The sequence below is a fragment of the Homo sapiens genome, chromosome 18 (genome assembly GCF_000001405.40).
Source record: "Homo sapiens chromosome 18, GRCh38.p14 Primary Assembly".
Taxonomy (NCBI): domain Eukaryota; kingdom Metazoa; phylum Chordata; class Mammalia; order Primates; family Hominidae; genus Homo; species Homo sapiens.
Genome location: NC_000018.10, coordinates 79,261,082 through 79,272,626, shown reverse-complemented (window position 1 = coordinate 79,272,626; position 11,545 = coordinate 79,261,082). Strand labels below are relative to the sequence as shown.

The 11,545-nt window shown below is 38.4% G+C and overlaps 1 protein-coding gene across 36 annotated transcripts in view; it reads right to left on the bottom strand.

Annotated features, from left to right (window-relative positions):
- Positions 1–11,545, bottom strand: part of ATP9B (ATPase phospholipid transporting 9B (putative)) — a 308,890-nt gene that overhangs the window by 105,657 nt on the left and 191,688 nt on the right. The window lies entirely within an intron of this gene.

The window sequence follows — 11,545 nt, the reverse complement described above, 5'->3', positions numbered from 1 at the left end:
GAGCTCAGGGAGAGGAGCGTATCCGTGCAGGATTCAGTGGAGAGAGCTCAGGGAGAGAAGCGTATCCGTGCAGGATTCAGTGGAGAGAGCTCAGGGACAGGAGCGTATCCGTGCAGGATTCAGTGGAGACAGCTCAGGGAGAGAAGCGTATCCGTGCAGGATTCAGTGGAGAGAGCTCAGGGACAGGAGCGTATCCGTGCAGGATTCAGGGAAGGCTCCGGAGTGCAGATGTGCACCAGGCACATCATACATACATGCATACGGTGCATCAGGCATGCACAGACACACAGCTTACACATGCTGTGCCGCTGGAACAAAGGCAGAGATACACCCTAAACATGGAAGCATGCTATTTGATCTGCATCCATTGCACAAGATGTAAGGACAAACAAATGTAGTCTTGGGTCCTAAGACACAGAAAATACAGCAGAGTGAACAGGAAACCTACAGAATGGGAGAACATTTTTGCAATCTACTCATCTGACAAAGGGCTAATATCCAGAATCTACAATGAACTCAAACAAACTTACAAGAAAAAAACAACCCCATCAACAAGTGGGTGAAGGATATGAACAAGCACTTCTCAAAAGAAGACATTTATGCAGCCAAAAGACACACAAAAAAATGCTCATCATCACTGGTCATCAGAGAAATGCAAATCAAAACCACAATGAGATACCATCTCACACCAGTTAGAATGGCAATCATTAGAAAGTCAGGAAACAACAGGTGCTGGAGAGGATGTGGAGAAATAGGAACACTTTTACACTGTTGGTGGGACTGTAAACTAGTTCAACCATTGTGGAAGTCAGTGTGGTGATTCCTCAGGGATCTAGAACTAGAAATACCATTTGACCCAGCCATCCCATTACTGGGTATATACCCAAAGGATTATAAATCATGCTGCTATAAAGACAAATGCACACGTATGTTTATTGCGGCACTATTCACAATAGCAAAGACTTGGAACCAACCCAAATGTCCATCAGTGATAGACTGGATTAAGAAAATGTGGCACATATACACCATGGAATACTATGCAGCCATAAAAAATGATGAGTTCATGTCCTTTGTAGGGACATGGATGAAGCTGGAAACCATCATTCTCAGCAAACTATCACAAAGACAAAAAACCAAACACCGCATGTTCTCACTCATAGGTGGGAACTGAACAATGAGAACACATGGACACAGGAAGGGGAACATCACACACCGGGGCCTGTTGTGGGGTGGGGGGCCTGGGGGAGGGATAGCATTAGGAGATATACCTAATGTAAATGACAAGTTAATGGGTGCAGCACACCAACATGACACATGTATACATATGTAACAAACCTGCACGTTGTGCACATGTACCCTAAAACTTAAAGTATAATAATAATAATAATAAAGAAAATACAGCAAAGTATTACAGAAAGTCATTTAAACTGGTGTAAGCAAAATTCTAAATCCCATTATAATGTTTCTGAGTGGGTGTGGGATGATTGGAGATTTGCAATAAAGTGGTGTTTTCGGAAGAGTAAGCTGAGTACCAGCTTTGAAGATGAGCTGAATCAAAGAAAGACCAGAGACAAGTGGCAAGCAAAAGACATTCCCTGCTGCACATGCAGCTCACAGGGGCTGGTCTTCAGTGCAGCCAACTCCCGGCCTTCTGCTTAGACTGACAGTGGCCCCCAGGACCAGGTGCTGTGGCAACTGGGAAACAGTGCTTCAGGGCTTCCCTCACACTCAGGACTCTTCCGACTTTCATGTGGGAAGTCACTGTGAAATACACAGAGGGGCCTGTGCCTGAACTCTGGGGACAAATGGGGCTTCATTCCCCAGGCAAGCTCAAGAACACTGTTTGAAAAGTACTCTGGTTGGTTGAGAATGAATCAAAATTGGAAACTCAGGAATGGGGAAAGGTGAGCACCGAGATTAATGACTCCATGTTGTTAAGCAAACATGGGCGCCAACCTCAAAGGAGAGCCATCATTGCTGGTTGAAAGTTAAGATTTCCATATTAAAAGGAAATAACTATAAAATTAGGGTTTGCAGGTACAGATTAAATGATCAAATACTAGGAAGTACAAAGGAGAAAAAAAGAATAAATGAAGATTAAAATCCTCATATTTAAGAGGAGTCACACGTTATTGTTTGGTTCTTGACTTTGATATTTGAAATCAAGGTTTAAATATGTATTGGATAAAGTCAAGCAGTGGCAAATTTTAAGAGAGTTTTGCAATTTTCAAATAATTTAAAAATTTTAAAGTAAAATACATTCTGTATAGCAGTACAAACATATACACAGTGTACACACACACACAGACACACACACACACACAGAGCTGCCACATAGAATAGATGAATGTGTGCATATAAATATAAATGAACGCGCAAGAATGCAGGAGCAAGGCTGAACACCTATGCCAGGATTGTGAAAGGAAGAAATATTCCTATTAAAGGCTAGCACTTTTAGTTTAAAAATAAATAAATACTGATTTATGCAATTTAAGAGCTACACCTTAAAACAAAATGTCTCCAAAAGGCTAAGAAGAAAGGAATGGCAAAGACAAGCGGCAAGTCCCCCAGAACCAAGCGGGCAGTGATTATGTTAAGTGCTAGTAACAAAGCTGACCAGGCAAACAGGAGCCGGCTAAAGGCCGCAAGGAGGATAAGCAGGAGCTTTTCAAGGTTAGAAAAGCTTAGTTTTCTATCCAATGGTAACACTAACCTCAGTAAAACTATGGAGGCAAGGATGCGCCTCAGGGAAGGCAGGGCCAGCAGGCGCAGGCCAGTGAGCCTGCTTGTGGAGCTGAAGTCAGGTTCACATTTCCTGAACACATTTCCAGTGACTTGGAATCTTGAATGAAGATGCTCCAAGACAGAGGGTATCTCCAAGTACACAGCAGAAGCAAGTGTGTATGTCTTAGGAAATGAACCTCCATCTTTGTTCCCAAATGATTCCTATAATTAGTTTTTCAAATACAATTACCAAAAACACCGTAACAACAAACACTACCACATAACACAGAGCAAAACAAGACACCAGAAGCAAGAGCCAGAAGACCAAAATACAACATAAAAAGATTGACAAAGGTATCTGATATTGATACAGATTATAAAACAAACGGATACATAAAAATTTTTTTTAAATGTTTGTGTGGAATAGGCAACTTTAAAAATGAAATAATCAATGTGATAAAGAAACCAACCAGAATTTTTAGAACTAAGAAATATCAATAATTAAAATTAAGAAATTCCTTAGTTTAACAGCTGATTACACACAGTCAAAGAATGAGTACTTGTTGGACAGGTCAGTGAGGATGATACAAAATGAAGCATGCAAGCAAAAAAAGCAGAAAGTGCAGCAGCGAGAGCAGCGGAAACAAAGGTGTGGCGAGGACAGTGACCAAGCCCTGACCTCATGTCCCGCGTGGGGACACAGTGAGGACATCGACCAAGCCCTGACCCCATGTCCCAGAGCAGGACGCGACAGGTGGGGACGGGGCAGCATCTGAAGAGATGATGGCGGACTTTCTAGAATGAATAAAAGAATCTAGAGTCAAGAAGCCCAACAAATCCTAAGTACTGTTTAAAAAGAAACATCGTACCTCAACACATTATGTAGGGTAGAGCGTACAATGCCACCAATGAGGAGAGGATAGAAAAGCGGCTGGAAGAGATGGAAGGACCCAAAGAAGTGAAGTCTTAAAAGCAGTAACAGAAGACAAAAAAGAAAGGTGACAGCCTAGAATTCTATACCCAATGAAACTATTTTCCAAGAAGGATGGCCAAGCAAGAATTGAGAGTTCAGAACAGACCAGCATCAAAAGCACAAAAAGCGAACACATTTCTAACAGAAGGCAAATTACTCTACTCTAAGATGCAAGAAGACATTACGAACCGAAACGTGGATAAACCAAAATGATGGAGAATGTATAAACAAAATCAGTGATATTGTTAGGTTTAAGAATAACCAGGGTTTTCTTTGGGGTTTAAGAACAACTAGAATTAAAATAAATGACAAAAATGGTGTAAGTCCAGAAGGGAGCAAATTAAGTTAAATGCTTAAGGGAACTGACTTTTAACTCTGATAAGTTAAGAAGGTTTTTAACTTCTAGGGTAACTACTAAAAGAACAGAAACCACTTACATAACTTCTAAACTGCTGGAGAAAAAAGTTGCATTACAAAAAAATAATAAAATGGCAAGAAAGGAGAAAAATATTGAACAGGTAAGTCATATTAAAAGCACAAAATAAAACAGCAGATTTAAACTAAAAATATAAACAGTATTATAATAATTGAATATGCAATACTCTAGTCAAAAATTATCAAATTTAGATAAAAATTAAACCAATTACAAGATGGCATGCTAATACAAGATGTACGCTAATTACAAGAGACACATAAAAATAAATATACAGAGAAGTTGGAAGTAAAAAGATGGAAAAAGATATGCCAAAGAAATTAAAGACAGCTGGCATTGCTACATTAACACAAAACAAAGTAGAATTTAATGCAAAAAGCTTTAGTAGAGATAAAGAAAGTCCCTTTATAATGAGAAACTGCTTAATCCAGTAGGAATATAGACAACAATTTAAATTTGTATGCATCCAATATCAAAGCCACAAAACATAAAATACTAAAAATAAACAGAATTCCAAGGAAAAATAGACAAAGTCACAATAATGATGAGAGATTTTGACAAATTTCAGCAACTTTTATGAAAGAGAAAAACCCTTGTGGTAGACAGAAACTGAAAAACAAGATTAAGAATCTAGATCTGATCACACAGATGAGATCCTGTGACCAACAATTGGGAATGCAAGTTGTTTTGAAGCACACACAGAATGTTTATAAAAATGGACTAAATATTGGACCCTAGAACAAGTCTCAACACATTTCATAGATCTGAAGTTAAAAAGGTATGTTCTCTGAGAAAAATACAATCAAACTAAAAATGAACAAAGATGTATTAGAAATTTCTCAACTATGCTTATAAATTAAGATAAGAAATAAGTTTGTAATAAGCATGGGTCAAAGATGAAATCACGTCGAAATTAAAATATTCTGTACTTAACAATAACAAAAATACTACATATGAAAACTTTTGAAATGCAACCAAAGTAGTACTTACAGAAAAATTTATAGCCTCCAATACATATATTCACAAAGGGGGCAGAAGGTGAAAACTAATCAAGGAGGAAATAGATAAGTAAGAAAACATTAATGAAATAGGAAAATAATACACAGCTCAAAGAATACATAAAGACAAGAGTAGGTATTTCCATAAGAAATGAAAGCTGGCAAACCTATTGGAAGAGTGGTCAGGAAAAAAAAGAAAGCAAAAAGGGCAGAAATAACAAGTATGAAGAATTAAAAAGGTTCATATCACAGATCCTATGTATGTCAGGGATAACAGGAAAATATGAACAAACTGTTGTAAATAAAACTGAAAATTTAAATACTTGATTACGAATTGAAAACTATAACTTTGCAAAACTGACTCAAGAAATTAAAAACTTGAATAGTCCCATAACTAAATCAATGTGTCAAAAATGTTCCACAGTAAAAAGTTGAGGCTCACATGGCCTTCTTCTTATGTAAATGTTCAGGAAATAAACAATTCCAATTTTAGATAAATTATTTTAGAGAAAGAAAATGAGAAAAAAAAATATTTTTATGAGACTAGCATAATCCAGATACCAAACTCCACAAAAATGGTATGAAAATTAAAAATTACATGTCAATTTCACTCCTGTAAATCAATGTAAAAATCTCACAGAAAATACAAGTAAATGGAATCTAATAATAAACAAAATACTAACATACCATCATTATGTTGGGGTTTTGCCCCCAGAAATACAAGGTTGGTATGACACTAGAAAGTCAATCAATATCATTTACCGTGTTAATACATTAAAGAAGAAAAATTTAAAGATGAAAAATCCTCAATAGATTTAGAAAAATATTTCCTAAAATACATTCATGATTTAAAACAACTTTTAGCAAAATAGGAACAGAAAAATGTCCTTAAGGCATTAAAAGGCTTCTATAAACAAACTTATAGCATACTTAAATGACAAAGTGTTGAAAGTTTTGCCTTTGAGGATGGGAACAAAAGAAGAATGTTTATTATAATCACTTTTCTTTAACAACATACTGAAGATCTTTGCTGCAGAAACAAGGAAAAGAAATAAATGGTGCAAAGAACTGAACAAAAAAAAGCTGTTATTATTTACTGATGATATGATTATATATAGAAAAAATTTAATACACCTAGATTAATAAATAAAATCAATAGGATTTTTACCAAGATTGATAGTCAATAATTTTATAAAAATTAATTTTATTTCTTTACATCAGCAAAAAGAGAGGAAATGGTTCCTTTAAGAACGATATTTACGACATCATTTTAAAAATCCCAAGTATCTAAGAACTGCTCTAACAAAATTTGAGAAGACTTATTTTAGAGAAGACCTAAAAAAAATTGAGAGATACACCATATTCATGGCCAAGAAGACCTAAAACACTCTTTAAAGAACACAAGGATGAATGAAACAGAATAGAGAACCCAGAACTAAGACTGCACACTTACAACCATCTGATCTTCCACAAACCTGACAAAAACAAGCAATGAGAAAAGGACTCCCTATTCAATAAATGGTGCTGAGATAACTGGCTGGCCATTTGCAGAAGAGAGAAACCGGACCCCTTCTTTACACCATATACAAAAACAAACTCAAGATGAATTAAAGACTTAAATGCAAAAACTCAAACTATAGAAATCCTGGAAGACAACCTAGGCAATGACATTAAGCACACAGGCATGGGTGAAGATTTTATGATGGAGACATCAAGGACACAGGCATGGGTGAAGATTTTATGATGAAGATACCAAAAGCAACTGCAACAAAAGCAAAAATTGACAAATGAGATCTCAATAAACTGAAGAATCTCTGCACATCAAAAAAAAAACTTAACAGCAGAGTGAACAGACAACCTACAGAGTGGGAGAAAATTTTTTTGCAAACTACAGATCTGACAAAGGTTTAATATCCAGCACCTAAACGGGACTTAAACAAATTTACAAGAAAAAAACTAACAACCCCACTAAAAAGTAGGCAAAGGACAAAAAGACACTTTTCAAAAGAAGACAAACATGCAGCCAACAATCATATGAAAAAAAGCTCAACATCGGGCCAGGCGTGGTGGCTCACGCTTGTAATCCCAGAACTTTGGGAGGCCGAGGCGGGCAGATCAGGAGGTCAGGAGTTTGAGACCAGCCCAACCAACAAGGAATAAACCTAAATGCCCATCAATGACAGACTGGATAAAGAAAATGTGGTACATCTACATCATGGAATACTATACAGCCATAAAAAAGAATGAGATCATGTCCTTCGCAGGAACATGGATGGAACTGGAGGCCATTATCCTTAGCAAACTATCGCAGAAACAGAAAACCAAATACCACATGTCCTCACTTAAAACTGGGAGCTAAATGGTGAGAACACACTAAATGTGAGAACACACAGAAGAGAACAACGCACACTGGGGCCTGTCGGAGGCTGGAGGGTGGGAGGAGGGAGAGTATCAGCAAAAATAATTAATGAGTACTAGGCTTAATACCTGGGTGATGAAATAATCTGTACAACAAACCCCCATGACACAAGTCTGCCTATATCACAAACCTGCACATGAGGATAGACTTGTTCTATCAAACATCGAACTATTATAAAAGTCTGTTAACAAACACAGTTTGTTATTTGGCGAGAATACAAAAACAGTCCAAGGGAACAGAACAGGTAACCAAAACAGGCCCATGTGTATACAAATGCTTGGTACATGGCAGACGGGGCACTAGGTCACTGGGAAAAGTCTTTTCTATAACTGGTGCTGAGACAATTGGTTTGCAGAAATATGGTATTTAAAAACTGTACTTCACACCATATATATCAAAAAAAAAAACAAAAAACACTTACAGTGGTCAAAGGAAAAACAGTTAAGCTTCTAGAAGATAATGTAAGAGGAGAGTTTCATCTCCTTGGAGTAGGGAAGGATTTTTTAAACAACATAAAAAGTGATAACCAACAAAAAAAAAACCTCATATATTTGGCATGTAAAATCAATAACTGTTTTTTCATAATTTCACCAATGGGTGAGTAAAAAGTCAAACTACAGATTGAGAAAGATATCAGCAAAACATAAGCCGAGAAAGCCTTGGCATCTAAAATATATAAATAACTGCAAGCTGCTCAGAACACCAGACAAAAGACTTAGAAAGTTCACAAAAGAGAAAATCTAAATAGCTAATATATATGTGCATAATTGTTTAGTCTCATTATCAATCTGGGAAATGATCATTAAAACTGCAATGAGAAGCCCACTTATATTAAGTGTTGCTGAGGATGTGAACTATTCTCCACACTGATGTTGGAATGGTAAATTGGTACAAACACTTTGAAAAACAGTTAAACATTATCTGGTAAATTTGACAAATAACACAGCCAAGTAGTGCTGCTCCTAGATATGTTTTTTTTTCCTTTTCTTTTTTTTGAGACAGAGTCTTACACTGTCGCCTGGGCTGGAGTGCAGTGGCGCGATCTCGGCTCACTGCAACCTCCGCCTTCCGGGTTGACGCCATTCTCCTGCCTCAGCCTCCCGAGCAGCTGGGACTACAGGCACCCGCTACCACGCCCGGCTAATTTTTTGTATTTTTTAGTAGAGACAGGGTTTCACCGTGTTAGCCAGGATGGTCTCGATCTCCTGACCTCGTGATCCACCCGCCTCGGCCTCCCAAAGTGCTGGGATTACAGGCGTGAGCCAACGCGCCCGGCCTGCTCTTAGATATCTTATACCAGGGTGCTAACGTGTGGAGTACACATCATGAAATGTTAATAGCAGCACTGCTGCTCACTGTAAAAAAACTGGAAGCAACCCAAACCCCAAAACAGCAGAAAGGATCACTGAATACACTGGAGTGTGCTCATGCAAGAGAATGACAAGCTGCAAGAAATGAGAAGAAGACAACACAACGTCCTGTACACAGCCATGTAAAACAAAAGGAATAAGACAAAAAGAAAACATCCAGTATGATTTCAATTATAGAAACTAGCAAAACAGGAAAAACTAATTCACAGCTGACCCTCAAACAACACAGGTTTGAACTGTGCAAGTCCTCTCAGATATGGACTCTTTTTAGTAAGTCAAGTCAACCCTCCGTATCTGAGGGCTCTGCACCTGCAACCAAACATGCATCAAAACACAGTATTCCTGGGAGGCGAACCCCGCAGACATGGAGGGTCCACTTGTCCCACGGGTAGGTTTTGCAGGGCCCACTGTGGGACTTGGGTACACATGCGTTCTGGTATCCATGGAGGGTGCTGGAACCAATCCCCCATGGGAACCAAGAGATGACTGCATATATTTATATATGCAATTTTTAGGTGGCAAACCTTTAGGAAAAGCAAGAAGTTAACCATAAAAGCAGCATTGTATACATATACCAAAACATTACATTGTATCTCATAAATATATATGTCTATTAAAAATGAAATAAAAATTGTAAAGCCCACACATTACAAAATAAAACAATGCTCAAAGGCTGCTGAAGTAGCTTGTGCAACAAGAAGTAATAACTTTTTTGATAGATTAAAATAAATTTGTTAACTATAATTTTTTTAAAGCCAAGACAGTGATTATTTCAAAAGAAATGAAATGAATTGTGCAAAAATATATTTTCTAAGCCAATATAAAAACTGGCACATAATTCATGCTATAACTAATAAGAGATTTATACAGAAAAAGTATAAAAGGAAACATCTTAAGCGTGTATGGCACCTTAACTCTGAAACTGGGTGAAGATACGGGTGCTAAGTGCTAGATGGTTTTTGCAGCCACGCTGGACCCTCAGGGTTCATGTATGGAATCCCTGGCATATGTACCACGTAAAGGGGATGGACTGTGGTATTACAAAAGCAGTATTAACCAGGTTTCCTGTCACAGCATCTCCACTGACCTTAAAATCTGGAAAACATGCTTCATCATAGAAATGTTTCAAATTGTTTCCCCAAATTCAGAACTCTGAATTTTCTGAGTTCAAATAAGTGAACCAGAAAAAGGGGCTCTTTAGCCAAAATTACTTCTAAACTATGCCCTTTTTCTATCAAATGACTTCTCTGTTCCCCAGCACTATTTCCACAATTAGAGGCAATAAGGTTTGTATATATAAAATAAAACTTTGTTTTATTTCAACTTTATATAAACTTTAGATAAAACTAGTGATGAGAGTTCATGAATTAGCCATGCTCAGTAACTAAAAACGTAACATAAATTATAGAAAAGTATTTTTTTTCCTAAAGAAAAATATATTTAAAAAAAATTCTAAACAAACTTGAATGTTTAGGGAATGGTTTTTGGCTTTTGTTGAGGGCTAGGTTGTGGGGAGAGGAGGAGGAATTAAAGTTTCAGATAATTTTTACTTCTATGGAGAGAAAAAGCAAGGAAAGGGGAGGGAGGGAGGGAGGGGAGCGGGGTGTCCAGATGAAGACGCTGAGGACTGAGCTGCAGGGCCCCGAGGGTACACGCCATTCATCCCTGCACCCTCACACACAGCAGCGTGGGGCGTGTACTGAGCTGAATGGCCCATCACAACACCTCCCAAAAGCACATACTCGGATGGTGAGTAAATGAAGAACTGTTACACATTCAACCAAGTGTTCAGCAGGCAGAAGGCTGAGCTGCCTATTATAAAGTGGGAGCTTAGCAGGACACTTAGTAGGACAAGGAGACATCCTCCCACAACGCTCGAGCAACAACAGGCAGAGAGGAAACATTCCTGAATATCGGGAAACTGAACTGTTTCTTACAAGCAAAACAGTAGCCATGGAGCACTGCAGCATCTCACCCTTCCTGACGCTACCTTGCCAAGAGCAGGGGATGAAGCATTTTGTAAAAAATGACTCTATGTGGTGTACTGGTTTCTTAAAGATGCCATCACTAGATGTCTTAAAGCAACAGAATTTTATTTTCTCACCATCTGGAAGGTGCAGGCAGAGCTGTTTCCTCCTGGACTGGTCGGGGGTGGTGGGGTGTGGAGGGTGGAGGTGGGCTGCTCTGCCTCTCTCCAGCTCTGGATCTGCTCACAGTCCTTGGCGTGCCCTGGCTCGTAGAGGAATCATTCCAGTTTCTGCCACTGTCTTCACCTCACCTTCTCCTTGGCGTATTCCCACTCCTTTGATTACAAGGACATTCACTGCAATGAGGGCCTACTCTAATTCAGGATGGTCTCGTTTAGAGATCATTATCTTAATTATAACTGCAAAGACTCTTTTCTCAAGTAAGGTCCCACTCACAGATTTCATATGGGCACATGTTCTGGGGGCCATCACGGCATGCATGGGAGTCCACCCTCTAGCACTCGCAAATTTACACTGGTCCCAAATGCAGAATACATTTACCCCATCCCAATATCCCTAATGTCTCGGCCTATTATAGCATCAACATTAAGTCCAAAATTTCATCCAAACAGCATCTGCTCAAAGGCCCCAGATCTCATCA